This window comes from Homo sapiens, chromosome 17 (genome assembly GCF_000001405.40).
Source record: "Homo sapiens chromosome 17, GRCh38.p14 Primary Assembly".
In the NCBI taxonomy this organism is placed as follows: domain Eukaryota; kingdom Metazoa; phylum Chordata; class Mammalia; order Primates; family Hominidae; genus Homo; species Homo sapiens.
This window is the reverse complement of record NC_000017.11, coordinates 60,272,796-60,290,129: the sequence shown is the minus strand read 5'-3', so window position 1 is coordinate 60,290,129 and position 17,334 is coordinate 60,272,796. Positions and strand designations below refer to the sequence as shown.

General features: G+C 38.8%; 1 protein-coding gene across 12 annotated transcripts in view; it reads left to right on the top strand.

The window, feature by feature from the left end:
• The window catches only part of USP32 (ubiquitin specific peptidase 32), a 245,090-nt gene that overhangs the window by 132,287 nt on the left and 95,469 nt on the right, over window positions 1-17,334 (top strand). For 11 of the 12 annotated variants that reach the window (XM_011525372.2, XM_011525371.2, XM_011525376.2 and 8 more), the window contains one exon: window positions 1,448-1,607. The exons of the other annotated variant lie outside the window; for it this stretch is intronic. In XM_011525372.2, the coding sequence (XP_011523674.1) occupies window positions 1,448-1,607 (160 nt within the window). The remainder of the gene's footprint in view (window positions 1-1,447; window positions 1,608-17,334) is intronic. 12 annotated transcript variants of the gene reach the window in all.

Sequence of the window (17,334 nt, the reverse complement as noted above, 5' to 3'; positions counted from 1 at the left end):
ACATTTCGAGAGCAATGTATCGTGAATGCTTTCTACCCCGGGCCTGTTGACTCTGATTTAGTTATGACAAGAATGACCCAATTTGTATGATCCACTTTCACACCATATTCTTCCATTCAGAAAAACAAGACTGTCAATGTCTTGATTGCTTGGATTGCAGTCACGTTAAATGTTCTGAAAGTACCGGGCTAAAAGTATCGCCTCACTTAATGGGATGCTACTAAACAATGTAGATATGTTTCTACCATATTTCTTTTAGGTAACTAATTATTCGTATTCTTTAGCATGTCTATTAGGATTAGAGCTGCTCCAATCTTGACTGTCATTATTCAATGTATTTCTTTCTTTTTTTTCCTGATCAAATAGTTCAGGTTGTAGCTTCATTGTATTTCCTTGTGAATTGCTTCTCCCTTTTTCTGCTTAGAAATACCTGGCTCCCACTAAACCTAGGATCTCTTGTCTTCCAAGCAAAGGGATTGGCGTGAACAACCATATGATGCTCTTTTTCAGCCTGGATACTTTTCTCCAGAGATTTATCAAGAAAAATACCTGGAAAGAAAGCAAAGAAACAGAAATCAACTTGCTTCTTTTTGTTCTCTGTGTACATACATGTTTTCAGTGATGCCTTCTGGGATCCTGAATGTCTACTCTAGGAGGACACCTGGATAGTTGTTTTTAATTCACAAATGAAATTTAAAGAGTATTTTAATTCCATACAGATTTAATTAAGATATAGTAACTCAGGCAGATTGAAGAGTGCTAAAGAAGAGGGATAAGGCAAGTGAAAAATTGGATTTATTAAATGTTTAAAGAAATGCAGATGGCCGGGCACGGTGGCTCATGCCTGTAATCCCAGCACTTTGGGAGGCCGAGGCGGGCAGATCACAAGGTCAGGAGATCAAGACCATCCTGGCTAACACGGTGAAACCTCATCTTTACTAAAAAATACAAAAAATTAGCCGGGCGTGGTGGTGGGTGCCTGTAGTCCCAGCTACTCAGGAGGCTGAGGCAGGAGAATGGCGTGAACCCGGGAGGCAGAGCTTGCAGTGAGCCGAGATCGCGCCACTGCACTCCAGCCTGGGCGACAAAGTGAGACTCCGTCTCAAACAAACAAACAAAAACAAAAAACAAAATGCAGTTTACTGGTTTTGGGATATACTTAGCAAACAAAATCTGGCTTATTGGCAGTGTACTGCTTTACTGAATTGATGAAATAATTTGTAGTTAACATACAGATTTTATGCAAGTAGAAGTTATGAAGCACAAGTATTTTTGAAAAGTTTGATTTCCAAATATGTATATACACCCTGCAGTGTTATTAGATAATCCTTCCTTTGTAGACAGCAGAAAGGTAATTGCCAACTAATTGCAAATTTCAGGTTGTGCAGGTTCCAAGTAAGATACCTTAAAATTTGACTAAACTTATGTTTTCTTGTTTTAATTTTAGGGTGAAAAGGTAAACTATGAAAAGTTTAGAAATTGGCTTTTTCTAAACAAAGATGCTTTTACTTTCTCTCGATGGCTTCTATCTGGAGGTGTGTATGTTACCCTCACTGATGATAGTGATACTCCTACTTTCTACCAAACTCTGGCTGGAGTCACACATTGTAAGTAATGACATTTCATTGTTTTCTGTTTGCCTTTTTTTATATATATAATTGGCTGGTAATATGAGAATATGCTTATAAAGGAGAAATTTATTTAAATTCTGTCCCAGGCTGGAGTGCAGTGGCACCATCGTGGCTTACGGCAGTCTCAACTTCCTGGGCTCAAGCAGTCCTCTCACCTCATCCTCCCAAGCAGCTGGGACTACAGGCACTCGCCACCATGCCTGGCTAATTTTTTTATCTTTTGTAGAGACTGCAGGGGTCTATATTGCCTATGCTGGTCTTGAACTCTTGGGCTCAAGTAATCCTCCCACCTCAGTTTCCCAAAGTCCTGAGTCTTGAGTCACGATTACAGTTGTGAGTCACTGTGCCCAGCCAAGACTTTTTTTTTTTTTTTTTTTTTTTTTTTGAGACGAAGTCTCCCTCTGTTGCCCAGCCTCGAGTACAGTGGTGTGATCTCGGCTCACTGCAATCTCCACCTCCCGGGTTCACGCCATTCTCCTGCCTCAGCCTCCCGAGTAGCTGGGACTACAGGCGCCCACCACCATGCCTGGCTAATTTTTTTGTATTTTTAGTAGAGTCAGGGTTTCACCATGTTAGCCAGGATGGTCTCGATTTCCTGACCTCGTGATCCACACGCCTCGGCCTCCCGAAGTGCTGGAATTATAGGCGTGAGCCACCATGCCCGGCCTGAGAAATTTTTTTTTTGTCAGTGTTTTGTTTTTTTCAAAATGTAATAAAAAGAAATGCTGGGCATGGAAAATATAGGCCTCTGTGAATTGTCCTTAATGAAGCTATATTAGTTTCCTAGGGTTGCTGTAACAAATTACCACAATTCATAAACTGAAATGAGACATTTACTCAGTTTTAGCAGCTGAAATCAAGATGTTTATAGGGCTGTGCTCCCTCTGAAGTCCTGTTATAGAATCGCAATTGGGTCTGCTTACCTGGCTCAGTAAAAATCACATATCTACACCAGAGTTTCTGTAGCAGTAGAAAGGAAGACATTTATAGGGCATTAAGCAAAGAGGACCAGGTAAATGCTCAAAGCCCAACCTCCCCAAGGCTCATGGGTAAGGGTTTTTAAAGGCAAGGGTAACTTTCAGGAATATAGAAGCTACAGGCAAAAATCGTAAATCAATACATGGAGGATACTCATTGGTTTTGGCCTAAAAGGGCCAGATATCTTGAAAGGGGAGCTTACAAGTAGGTCATAGATAGGTAGACAGATTTAAAAATTTTCTGATTTGCAATTGGTTAAGGAAGAGAACCATCTTTTAAAAATTTGAGGTCAGCAGAAAAGAACGTTAACTGGCTCACGGGTGTGACTCCCTCCAGGCCCTTCAGGAAGAAATTAATTAATTAATTAATTTGAGACGAAGTATTGCTGTGTCGCCCAGGCTGGAGTGCAGTGGCGCGATCTCGGCTCACTGCAACCTCCACCTCCCAGGTTCAAGCGATTCTTCTGCCTCAGCCTCCTGAGTAGCTGGGATTATAGGTGCCTGCCACCATGTGCAGCTAAATTTTTTGTATTTTTATCAGAGAAGGGGTTTCACCATGTTGGCCAGGCTGGTTTCAAACTCCTGACCTCAAGTGATCCACCCGCCTCAGCCTCCCAAAGTGCTAGGATTACTGGCATGAGCCACCACACCCAGGCTGGGAAGAAATTTAGAACAAAGAAGGATGGTGAGCATTGAGTCTTTAGTTCCCCTGTGGTCTAAGGTCTGATCAGCTCAGTGGGAGTTCTTGGTGAGGGAGGGGGTCTGTGCTTCTGAATGACAACTCAGGGACACATATTAAGATGTTATCTTTAGTTGCTATAGGGAAATCAAACATCTTCTTTTAGGCTACTATTACTTTCTGGCTTAACACATTACTTATTTCTCAGGGCTGGCTAGATAGATGCCTAGAGTTTCACTTGAAGGAACTCAGGAGTATCCTTTATTTCCATGCATGCAGGGACCCCTAGGCCCCTCGGCCCCTCAAAAGGTGCCTCCTGCTCTGCCTCAGTCCCTAGAAAAGAATTATTCCTTGCCTCTTCCATTTTTTGGTGACCCCAAGCATTCCTTGGTTTGTGGCAGCATCTCCCATTCTTTGCCTCTGTCTTCACATGGCCTTCTCTGTGTGTTTCTGTGTCCTTTCCTCTTTGGATTCAGGGCCCAGGCTAAATCCAGGATAATTTTACCTCAAGATCCTTAATTCATTACATCCGCAAAGACCCTATTTCCAAATAAGGCCATATTCTGAGGTTCCAGATAATCATGAATGTTTGGGAGACAGTATTCAATTCACTACACAGGCCTAAGTGTTAATTTCTACTGTTCTTCTTTCCATTGGATACAGAAAACTGTTAATACACTCTGCTTTTCCTTTTTTTTTTTTTTTTGGACACACTGTCTCACTCTTTTGCCTGGGCTGGAGTGCAGTGATGTGATCTCAGCTCACTGCAGCCTCCGCCTCCTGGATTCAAGTGATTCTCTTGCCTTAGCCTCCCAAGTAGCTGTGATTACAGGCATGCACTACCATGCCAGCTAATTTTTGTATTTTTATTAGAGACGGGGCTTCACTGTGTTGGCCAGGCTGGTCTTGAACTCCTGACCTCAGGTGATCCACCTGCCTTGGCCTCTCAAAGTGCTGGGATTACAGGCGTGAGCCACTGTGCCTGGGCTGCTTTTTCTTATGCTTCTTTCTATCACTAAAATGCCTTCTCTTTTTCTTCTACGTGTTAAATCCTAATAATCATCCATGAAGACTTAAATCACATACCCTCTTTTTCATGAAACCTTTTCTTGCCTTCTTATCAGAAATTATCTCTCATTCCTCTGAACTCTGATAACACCTTACTTGTACCCTTTTTGAATTAATTTATCCTATTCATCTTTGTATTATAACTACTTATAGCATTCTGCTTATTTGTACATGTCATGTCTCCTAACTCATAGGATCCTTTCCGGCAGAGGGGGTCTGCAGTATTATCCTATCTTTCCAATCTTGGGCCAAGCCTGAATAAGTATTTGTTGACTGAATAGAGGAATTTGGGTGTCAAGTGCTATTTGTATCCATTACTTTATATGACATATAACTTGACTACAGATTACACACCAGCTACTTTCTCCCATTTTCATTCTGTTATTATTAAAAGTTCTGACTGGTAAGTTCTGGCATGAATGGGCAGTAAGCTTGATTCTACTACTTTTCAGTGCCCTTATCTTTGTTTTAAATAGGAAAGCCTTTTAAAAAATTATTTTGCTTAAAATATTGAGGGAACCTTTTTATACTCACTGTGTAAACTCTAACTTACCTTAATATTTATATTGTTACTCATATGGATATTCTGTTGAACTTTCACTTTTACTTGTGATTGTATGGTAAATTAGTTTTCTGTTAATATCGAAAAGAGTGTGACTGCTTTCCTTAAATGCCTTGTTGTGTTAAAGAAAAAATTATTCTGATATTTGTTAAAACTGTGAGGAAGACATTATTCAAGACTACTGCAATTAAGGGTATTGCAGTAGGGGAGAGAGATAAGCTCAGCTCTCAATATAACAACGACAAGTGGGGATTTATAGCCAAGGATTAAGGTGAGGTGGTCAGTGGATAGAAAAATTACAAAGAGGAGACATCAAAGGTAGGGGATTCTTGCTAAAGCAGTCCAAGGTGAGGGGAATGACTATTGCTGGATTCTTATCTAAAACTGGTCTAGGATAGACCAATGACAGGAAGGGAACCAAGAATGAAACTTAGTAGAAGTGAGCTTAGAGGAACCTAAAAAATTTGGTCAAGGAGCTTTGTCAGTTGATTAAAAAATTACTTTGAAAGCAGAAGCTGCTTATTTACTGTTTTTGAAAACACTGTATTATTAGAGAAAACAAATTTATTTAATCAGTCAAATAATTTTCAATATGTTAAAAATGGCTCCGTTTTATTTGAAAATCATCTTTTTTTGGATTTTTAGTAGTATCTAAAAGTTAAAAATACTTTTGCCTTAAGAAATCTTGAATTAGGCTGGGCGTGGTGGCTCATGCCTGTAATCCCAGCACTTTGGGAGGCCAAGGCGGGCGGATCACAAGGTTAGGAGTTCGAGACCAGCCTGGTCAATATGGTGAAACCCCTGTCTCTACTAAAAAAAAAAAATACAAAAATTAGCCAACCATGGTGGCAGACCCCTGTAGTCCCAGCTACTTGGGAGGCAGAGGCAGGAGAATCACTTGAACCTGGGAGGCGGGGGTTGCAGTGAGCCAAGATCATGCCACTACACTCCAGCCTGGGCGACAGGGCGAGACTTGGTCTCAAAAAAAAAAAAAAAAAGAAAAGAAAAAATCTTGAATTATTTGAAACAAATATTCCTGTACATTGATTGTTTCACCTACAATAATGACCTTCTAATTCCTAATGATTGTTTTCTTTTTAGTTTCATGTACCTCCTAACATCTCTGCAGCATTTTAACACTGTTGACCAATCAGTTTTCTTCAAACTCTCTTCTCCTTTGGCTTTTGAAACATTGTAGTTTCCTAATATTCTTCTTATTTCTTACGAGTTTTACTGTTCCCCTTTTACCACCTACTTTTAAAATAAAAGTTATTTCCAGTGGATCAGCCCTTCGCTCTAGTTTGTTCTCGGATGATGTACATTCTTTGCTTCATCACAGCCATTTCCATGCTTCACCTATCCTTCCTATCTTTGTAGGTGATACCTAGATGAACTTTTCTGCTCTTGAGGTATTTCTGAAACCTCAGATTCATTTTAATAAATGCCTCTTGGTTATACTTTCTAGCACCTAAATCTTATATCTAAAGTGAATTCATCTTTCCCTGCCATGATCCACCTAAAGGTATTAAAAAAAAAAAAAGGCAAACTTGTTCTTCCTTCTGTGTTTTATATCCTGGTTGATAGTATTTTTAATTCCAGTGTCTAACTTGACTAACCTTTGACTTTTCCTTGTCAAGCTTCATATTAGATTCTATCCATCTTAACTCAGACATATTTCTTGCATCTTTCTTTCTTGGTGCCATCATTATAAGTTTCTTATCTTTCTTATTTTACTTCCTCTCAATGATACGAAAGGATGAAGGACAATTTTTTAAATGTATTTTTAATTCACATTAAATTGACATTAAATTTCTTTTAATTACTTCACTTCTCTGCTTAGAAACCTTTGTTTAAATTCCTTAGCATGGCTTCAGAGTCTCTTAGTTTCCTATCCTTGACTTAATTTCCCATGCTCATTTCTCCTCACGTGTGTTCTTTGCCTCAACTACAGAGCACTGGTCAATATACCGTGACCACACCATGAACTTTTATATTATAGCTACACTATATACATCACTCCTAATCTTCCTTCATTTAAGAATGTACTTCATCTTTCAGCCCTTGACAATTGAGATGATTGTTTGTCATCAAAGCCCAATTCAGATGCTGCCTTTTCTGTCATGCTTGTCCATTTCTCTTTGAGTTAATTTATTTTACTATTTGCATTTCTGCAACACTTTATATTTCAATTGAAGCAATTAATTTGCTTTTTGCCCTATCTCTAAGTCTGTTGGAAATGATTTTGTTTACCCCCACAAGTTGCAAGCCCCTTGGGAATATGGCTCAGGTCCTATTCCTTTGAGTTTTTCTTAGTTTAGTGGACGAAATGCATTTTGTTGGATTGAACTGGATTGAAAATTTTTCAGCCTCTTAAAGTGTACATTCTAAGTCTTGATTTAAACATTTGATTGCCTCCAGAGTGAGCAGAAGGGATGTGTCCTCTTAGGACTGTAAGGCTAAAGCCATACCAAGGGGAGAAGGACCAAGATAAATCATCATGTTTAAATAAGGTTTAACAACTTCATAGCATGGGGATGTTCTCATAAAAGTAGACTATGTTTGGCTGGGTGCGGTGGCTCATGCCTGTAATCCCAGCACTTTGGGAGGCCGAGATGGGTGGATCACGAGGTCAAGAGATCAAGACCATCCTGGCCAACATGAGGAAACCCTGTCTCTACTAAAAGTACAAAAATTAGCCGGGTGTAGTGGCATGTGCCTGTAGTCCCAGCTACCTTGGACGCTGAGGCAGGAGAATAGCTTGAACCTGGGAGGCAGAGGTTGCAGTGAGCCGAGATTGCACCACTGCACTCCAGTCTGGCAATAGAGCGAGACCCCGTCTCAATAAAAAAAAAGAGTATACTATGTTTTTAGGGGGAAATGAATTATGATACTTACACACTTAAAGAACTGTTGAAAGTTGCAAAGTTCTAAGGTCTTCCTTCTAAAACTTTTGGTTAGCTAAATGATATCAGATATAGAACATTGATTAGCATTCAGTTTAGGCACATGAAGAGTCAGTTTGCTTTAAATACATGTAATGATTTTAACTGCTCTTACAATGTGCGCATTGATTTCCGTGGTAGTCATTGAAATAAATCAGTACTGTGTGGTAAAAGCCTGAAGAAATATTATGCTGTTTTCTCAGTTATTTATAACATTCTTATTTGCTGGCATCTTAGTTGAGTTTTGTCCTATCCTTATTTCTTGTAAGAGAAATAACCCCAAATTAAAAACAAGTCAGCCGTAAGTCTACTATGGCATATTGATAGTTACCAGCTATATTGAGCATTGGAATTATTTGGAGAAATTATTGAAAGTGCAGGTTACTGGCTCTGTCGGCAAAGATTTTGATTTAGTGGGCCCTAGGACTTTGTACTTTACAGACCTCCAGGGTGATTTTGATGTAGATGGACCATGAACTGCATTTTGAGAAACACTGATAAAATATTTAGTAGTTCTTCAACCTCTGTGTCACACAGACTACCCCTGCCACTTACTATTGCTGTGGGAAATAGATTTAACCTCTTTGAACTTCTTTTTCCTCCTTTGTAAAACAGGGATAATGATACAATTTACCTTATAAGGCTGTTTCAAGGAGTAAATTAGGTAATACCTTTTGTTATTATTAATAAAAGGACTCAGCCTGCGTCTGGTATACAGCATTTTTTTTTTTTTTTGAGACGGAGTCTCACTCTTGCCCAGGCTGGAGTGCAGTGGCATGATCTCAGCTCACTGCAACCTCCATCCTCCGAGTTCCAGCAATTCTCCTGCCTCAGCCTCCCGAGTAGCTGGGATTACAGGCGCCTGCTACCGCGCCTGGCTAATTTTTTGTATTTTTAGTAGAGATGGGGTTTCACCATATTGGCCAGGCTGCTCTTGAACTCCTGACCTCATGATCCATCCGCCTCGGCCTCCCGAAGTGCTGGGATTACAGGCGTGAGCCACTGCACCCGGCCAGAGCATGTGTTTTATAATGAATATGCATCCTCTTATATTTGTGAACACTTGGCTTTGTGAATGTCAGTGGTTTTTACCCCTCTGTCTTCAGAGAATAATTGTTTTGGGATCAAGCAAATTTTCAAATAGAGGGCTGTAGATCAGTATAAAAATTAACTTGCCCAGATTTGTGGAAAGACAGTGTTTTTCTTACCAGTTTGTTTACTTTTATTTTATAATCTATAAAAACAAAGAACCAACAAATTTATTCAACAGACAACTGAATTGCTGCTGGCTTCTGGCAAGCAGCTACTTTCTTAGTGAGTCTTACTATGAAAAGCATTATCACAAAGTCAGAATTACTGCTAAGTTTCTTAGAGAAATTCTGACATGGTTAGGTTTACAATTTGATGACTATGATTTATATTACCTATAAATTCTCAGTCTGATTCTGGCTAAACAATTCACTATTGATGTCTTTGCAGGCTCTTCTACTCAAATAATATTTGGTACATTGAACTGTTCTAATAATGTGTTAGGAATGTGGAAACTTGTGATAAAAATAGGGAATGTTATTAACTGATTTATAAGTAGACATTTATTTTAAAGCATCAGTGACTCCATTTAAATTTGTGTAATGAGCCAAGGTATCTAGGAAACAAAAAGGAATTACAATTTTTAACTTCTAAATAACATGTTAACATGCAGATGCCTTTAATTACTTTTTCATACACAAATATATAGTAAAATTTGAAGTCACAGTAAGTTGAACACACTGCCACGTTTAATCATATTTTGTTCTCTTTGATGTGAATCACAAAGGAAACTGTGGAGCTATTTGTATTCAGTACAGACTTAGAATAATTAACTTACTTGATTTGGCCAGGTGCAGTAGCCCGAGCCTGTAATCCCACCACTTTGGGAGGCTGAGGTGGGTGGATTACCTGAGGTCAGGAGTTCAAGACCAGCCTGGGCAACATGGTGAAACCCCGTCTCTACTAAAAATACAAAAGTTAGCTGGGTGTGGTGGTGGACGCCTGTAATCCCAGCTACTCGGGAGGCTGAGGCAGGAGAATCGCTTGAACCCAGGAGGTGGAGGTTGCAGTGAGCCAAGACCGTGCCATTGCACTCCAGCCTGGGTAACAAGAGTGAAACTCCATCTCAAAAAATAATAATAATAATAATAACTTACTCAATTTACCCAAGATTTTAGATTTTGTCATGGTAATTACATTTTTCTGAAGTGTAAATTCCAAACTATTATTACCTTATCTATTTAAATTAAGAAGTGGAATCAGAACTTTAGCCCAAAGTTCAAGTGTTTATGGTTTAATACATCTTAACTAATTTTTTAATCAATACCATTGTATTTTTCTATCCTAATTTGCTGTTTAAACATTTTATTATTATTATTATTATTATTAATTATTATTATTATTTGAGACAGGCTCTGGCTCTGTTGCCCAGGCTGGAGTGCAGTGGCCCTATCTAGGCTCATTGCAACCTCCGCCTCCTAGGCTTAAGTGATCCCCCCACCTCAGCCTCCCAACTTGCTGGGACTACAGGCGCACACCACCAGGCCTGGCTAAGTTTTGTATTTTTTGTAGAGAAGGGGTTTTACCATGTTGCCCGGGCTGGCCTCAAACTCCTGGGCTCTAGTGATCTACCTGCCTCAGCCTCCCAAAGTGATAGGATTACAGGTGTGAGCCAGCATGCCTGGCTATTTAAATACTTCAGATTTTATTTGTAAAATTACTTGTGAAATATAGATAAGGTTTTTTTTTTCTTTTTTTTTTTGAGACAGAGTCTTGCTCCCCAGGCAGGAGTGCAGTGGTACAATTATGGCTCAATGCCGCCTCAACCTCCCAGGCTCAAGGGATCCTCCTGCCTCAGCCTCCTGAGTAGCTGGGGCCACAGGTGCATTCACCACACCCGGCTAATTTCTAAAAATTATTTGTAGAGATGGGATCTCATCATGTTGCCCAGGCTGGTATCAATCCTCCCCTGCCACAGACTCCCAAAGTGCTGGGATTACAGGTGTGAGCCACTGTGCCCAGTCAACAGGATTAATGACAAGTTAATCTTTAAAGCCGTTTGTACTAAAGGTACAGGAGGACAGATATGATGTTTGTGATGATGCTGAGCATCTCGATGATGATGTTGAGTCAGAAAGCTTGTATAGGGAGCATAAACATTCTATGTAATTAAAAGTTTGAAATAAGTTAGTACAGTTCTTCCCTCTCCTCCTCTGATTCTACTTTGAATGATCAAACCCTAGTCATTTTTGTTTTTTCTTATAATACTCTTTCCTTTTCCATTTTGTCCATAGTTATATAATACACACAGTGTTGGAGTTTGGAGAGACAGACTATAAAGTTAAAATGTAATTAGTTTTAATTGATTAGTTTTAATCAGACTTTCACTATTTTAAATCTGTCTATGCCATCCCCTATACTGTAGTACGTGAATAGTCCTCTCCAAGCAGTCTAGCAGCTCCAAGTCATCTTCTCTTTGAAATGTCTACGTTGTGACTGAAATGCCTGCTATTCCAGGTTCAACTGTTATCTTTATACTTTTTTTGTTTTGTCATTGGAAACTAAAATTCTTTCCTGTTTTTTGCCTTTTATCTTGGGTCCATGGTATAAACCTTTCTATAGGTGATCCTTTTTCTTGTTTTTGAATTAAAACTTAACACAACTGCTTTTTTGTCTTTCTGTCCTATTACTATCTGTCTTACCTTCAGACTTTTACACATCCTGTTTTACCTCTGCTTATAATTTCCTTCTGCCACACTCCTTTTCCTTTCCCTAGTTAACCCTTAGATTCTCTTCATGTACCTCTTTAAACATCGAGACCTCCAGGGCCTACCCATGTATGTGCTCCCAGAAAACTCTCTATTTTTTCATTGTACTTTCCACACTAGATGAAAATGATCAGTTTTCACTTCTCATCTCTAAACATAATTGTCTTGTTCACAGTCATATGTGTAGTTTTTAGTACAATGTCAGGCATATAATACGTTTTTACTAAATGTTTCCAGAATATGATGTGGCTTTTAAAATTTTTATTTATTGTCTGGGTGCAGTAGCTCATGCCTGTAATCCCAGCACTTTGGAAGGCTGTGGTAGGAGGCTCACTTGAGTCCAGGAGTTCAAGGCCAGCCTGGGAAACAGCAAGGCCCGTCTCTACAAAAAATTTGAAAATTAGCTGGATGTGGTAGCACATGCGTATATTCCCAGCTACTGTGGAGGCCGAGGTGGGAGGATCACTTGAGCCCAGGAGGTTGAGGCCACATTGAGCTATGATCACTCCTGGGTGACAGAGTGAGACCCTGTCTCTTCAAAAAAAAAAAAAAAAAGGAACTATTATTAAGTTATTTTTTTAATAGTCATATTCTTTTGTAGAATTCAGCAATATTTGGAAGAAAACATATATCTATTCTGTCTTGTAAATGTTTTCCAATAAATAAAGAAAGTTTTTGGCATTTCCCCAGAATGTATCATAATGTATTCAGCTTGCTAACTGAGTGATTTCTTTGAATGGTAGAATCTGGATTCTGAAGTAGTTAAAATTCTAATTTTGGTGATGGGACTTTATAATTCATTTTGATTGTTTCTCTTTTCAGAGCTAACTCAAGAAATGTATATTGTCCTTATCTGTTTTAGCATTTATTTCAACTAACAATATGTATATTATTATGGTCCCTTACCACATTTTAGTTTACAATGTTAAAGCCTTCTGTCAATAGGGAATAAAGGACTTTGGTGATTCTTAGACCATGAACTGCCTAGTAAATCTGTGTGCCTCTCCTTCATTATCCTCTTATCCGTTAGTGATGCAAGGCTTACAGCCATTTTAAGTAGATCTCAGAAGGTCATTGCTCCTGAGAGGAGGTTGTTTTTCAAAAATGTTAAAGAAATGTGTTACTGTATGAAAATATTTGGATATGTGCCTGGCCTTTTTGATGAGGATTGACTTCTGGCATTAAAGAGTTGTTGTCTGCAGCTGGAGCCTTTGGTGAGGTGAGACCTGATTAGGATGGCCCAAAGTGCAGACCAAGAACTACTTAGAATGTTGGGAATATGGTATACTGCTGTTGTGACCCAGAAAAAATTATACCTATAGGTGGGTGATAAATTCATTCTTATTTAGCCAATAGACTAAGTTTTCATAGTGACTTATGCATTGCAAATAGAAAGAGTAACTACTGAAATTACTGCTTCAAACTTCTGTAAGTGAAAATAAGGTTAGTTAAACTCCCTCTTCCTAGTAATTTAGCTGCCAATTCATGTAAAATGTTTGGTAATTTTATATATATATATATATATATGTATATGTAATCTACTTTAGCTTGCTTTTGACAAATGTTTGATTGAGGAATGTGCAGTCTATATCCAGAAAATGAACAGATCACATACACTTAAACGTCAGCACTAAAGGATGTTTTTCACTGGTGACCATGACCAATCTGATCATTTTTTTCTTGTAAATATGTTTTACTTGTCTTTCCACATTTCTGCTTCAGCAAAGAAATTGTGTTTTTTAAGGAGATTGATTAACATAGTTTTCAAAGTAAAAAAAAGAATCACAGTTAATATGATTTTTCTGTGTTTCAATTTACTGTATTATGTAAACACCAATTAATCAGAAGTACTTATTGAACACCTATTATATTCTCAATACTGAGAAGTATAGAAATAAGAACAGTTTCTATCGTCAAGACTGCTATCTTCCTTTTGTTTCAGGGTTAGATTTTTTTGTATGCTGATCTACTACTTGGAAGAGTTTAGAACTTGAAAAAGCTAGTGTTTCTCTGGAGGAATGAAAGAGGCTTCTTTTTCTTTTTAGCATCATAAATGGAATAGACAGACATCTTATTTAGGAATCTCAATTTATATATCAGATTCCTTTGTTGTTCTCCCTATTGCTAAAATTTTAAAATACTCTCTCCTTTTAAATAAATTCAGTTATCTGGATATTTGAAGTAGATACTTCAGCATTAAAAAACGAAAACAGCATTCTTTAGTATGAGTTTTACATTTTTTATTTTATTACAAAAAAGTTGAAACAGGGTCTCACTATGTTGCCCAAGCTGGTCCTAAACCCCTAGACTTAAGCAATCCTCTTACCTCGGCTTCCCAAAGTTCTGGGATTATAGGTGTGAGCCACCACGCCCAGCCGTTATATATTTTAAAAATTAGATCCCATTCCAAAGTAATTGGACCTTTGCAAACATTGACCCATCAGGCGATTACAATCTAGTGAATTAGTTACTTAGTTTAAAAAGCAAAACTATATGACACAGTGTATATTCCTCTGTGAAAATTTTATCTTTATTGCTCCATACTTTTTTTTTTTTTTTAAATAGAGACAAGGTCTCTACTAAAAATACAAAAAATTAGCCAGGCATGGTGGCAGGTGCCTGTAATCCCAGCTACTCAGGAGGCTGAGGCAGGAGAATCGCTAGAACCTAGGAGGCAGACGTTACAGTGAGCTAAGATCACACCACTGCACTCCAGTCTGGGCAACAGAGTGAGATTCCGTCTTGGAAAAAAAATACATCAAATGCTTTGAAGGCCCTGGAAATTTAGGGAACTTTGTTCTTATCTTTCCAGGTAACTTAAGAGTTACTTTGCTAAACTGACCTAACAGGAAAAATAAATAAATAAATGAAAGTTACTAGATGCCAAGGTCATGTCTGGTACTAATTGTTATCTTTTATCACAGTTAGCATTATCCTGAAGAGGGGTGTGGGGGTATGTGTGTGTATGTATGTATAAAACAGCTCAACAAATAATTCTTTTTTGTTTGTTTGTTTTTGAGATGGAGTCTTGCTCTGTTGTCTAGGCTGGAGTGCAGTGGTGCAATCTCGGCTCACTGTAAACTCTGCCTCCCAGGTTCAAGCGATTCTTCTGCCTCAGCCTCCTGAGTAGCTGGGATTACAGGCACACGCCACCACACCTCACTAATTTTTGTATTTTTAGTAGAGATGGCGTTTCACCATGTTTCCTAGGCTGGTCTTGTACTCCTGACCTCAGGTGATCCGCCTGCCCTGGCCTCCCAAAGTGCTAGGATTACAGGCGTGAGCCACCGCGCCCGGCCAATACTTCTCATTTATTCATTAAACTTATTTATTGAGTGCTCAAAATGTGCCTGATATTATTCTGGTGTTAGACTGTAACAGGGAACAAAACATACCAGAAACTCAGCCCTCAAGCTTATGTTCTAATCAAGGGAGATGCTCAATAAACAAAACAAATGAATAAATTTTATATTAGAGTTGATAAGTATTATGGAGTAAAGTAGAGCAGGGAAGAGGGATAGAGGAGTATCTTTGAAGGTGGTGTGGTTTGGATGGTCTGAGAATGTGACATTTGAGTAAAGATCTGAAGGAGTTGTGGGTGTAAGCCATGCAGGATCATGGGGAAGTATTGAAAGGTTTTGAGGCAGAGAAGTAACATTGTTAGCCTTATTCTGTTTACATAGATACTTAACTGGTCTTCCTGCTGTCTGAAGAATGCCCTTTAATAGTCCTTTTGGTGTGGTTCTGCTAAAACACTTCATTTGTCAAAAAAAAAAATCTGTACTTTGAATTTATTTTTGAAGAATATTTTCACGTGATACAGAATTGGAGGTTGACAATTTTGTTTTCTTTTTCAGTACTTCTTCCCTGTTGCTTTCTGGGGTTTTTTTCTGGAGATAAATTATTATCTTAGTTCTTTTGTTTGTAATGTGTTTTTCCCCCATCTTGCTCCTTTTAAGATTTTTTTCTTCATCACCAGTTTGATTATGACTTGCCTTGTTAGGGTTTTGAGTTTTCTAACACAAGGTTCATTGAACTTCTGGATCTGTGGGAATATAGTTTTCATGAATTTTAGAAAGTTTTCAGCCATTATTTTTTGAGATATTTTTCTGCCTATCCCTTTCTGGGATCCCAATTGTATGTATGTTTGATATTATCTTATAGGTCACTAAGATTCTAATACGTTTTTAGCCTTTTTCCTCTTTATGCTATCATTTAGATAGTTTCTATTGCCTGTCCTTCAAGCTCACTAATCTTTCCTGTCTAGTTTATAATTGGCTGTTAAGTCCTCTAGGGAATTTTTTTAAATTTCAAATATTGTATTTTTCATCTTTAGTAGTTCCAGTTGATACTTCTTTATAGTTGCCATTTCTTTCCTTAGTATAGGCATGTTTTTCTTTAATTCCTGAGATACTTACAATAGACATTTTAAAGCTTTGCCTGTTAATTACATCATCTGTTATTTCTAGGTCTTTTTCTATTGACTAATTTTTTTTTTTTTTTTTTTTTTTTGAGACTGAGTCTCGCTCTGTTGCCCCCAGGCTGGAGTGCAGTGGCGCAATCTCGGCTCACTGCAGCCTCCACCTCCTAGGTTCAAGCGATTGTCCTGCCTCAGCCTCCGGAGTAGCTGGGACTACAGGCACCCGCCACCACGCCCAGCTAATTTTTGTATTTTTAGTAGCGATGGGGGTTTCACCATATTGGCCAGGCTGGTCTCGAACTCCTGACCTCAAGTGATCCACCCACCTTGGCCTCCCAAAGTGCTGGGATTACAGGCATGAGCCATCACATCCAGCCCTCTATTGACTAATTTTTAATCCTGATTTTGGGTCACATTTTTCTACTACTTTCATGTTTTCTTTGGATGATAGACATTGTGGATGTTACGTATCTGAGCATCTGGATTGTTGTCTCTCTTTAAAAAAGGAACTTGTGTTTTATTTTGATAGGCAGTTAAGTTACTTGTGGATCAGCACCATATTTTCCAGGATTGTTTGTAAGCTTTGTTGGGACAAGTTTAGAGTAGCCTTTACTCTAGAGTTAGTTTTTCTCTGTTTATTAAGTAGAGACCCTCTGGAGTTCACAAATGCTCCCAATGTCCAACAATGTGTTTCCACTTCAGCTGGTCACAACTCAGACATCTCCCAGCCCTGTATGAGCTCTAGGACTTTTTTAGCTTACAGTTTCCTAGCATCTGGGCTGGGTGCGGTGACTCATGCCTGTAAGTAATCCCCACACTTTCGGAGGCCGAGGCAGACAGATCACTTGAGGCCAGGAGTTTGAGACCAGCCTGGGTGATACGGCGAAACTCCATCTCTACTAAAAATACAAAAATTAGCCAGGCATGCTGGTGCATGCCTGCTATCCCAGCTACTTGGGAAGCTGAAACACAAGAATCTCTTGAACCCAGGTGGGTGGCAGAGGTTGCAGTGAGCCGAGATCACGCCACTGCACTCCAGCCTGGGCGACAGAGTGAGATTCTGTCTCAAACAACAACAAAACAAAACAAATTTCCCGGCATTTGTACATAGCCCAGCCTCATTGTATTCACTTCATGTATACACAGCTTACTATTCTGCCAAAACTCAGTAAGACACATGTGCAGATTTCTGGAGCCCTTTCTTGGCATAACTCTTTCCTCTCCAGTACTCTGTTTTGCAAATTTCAGCTACCTTACC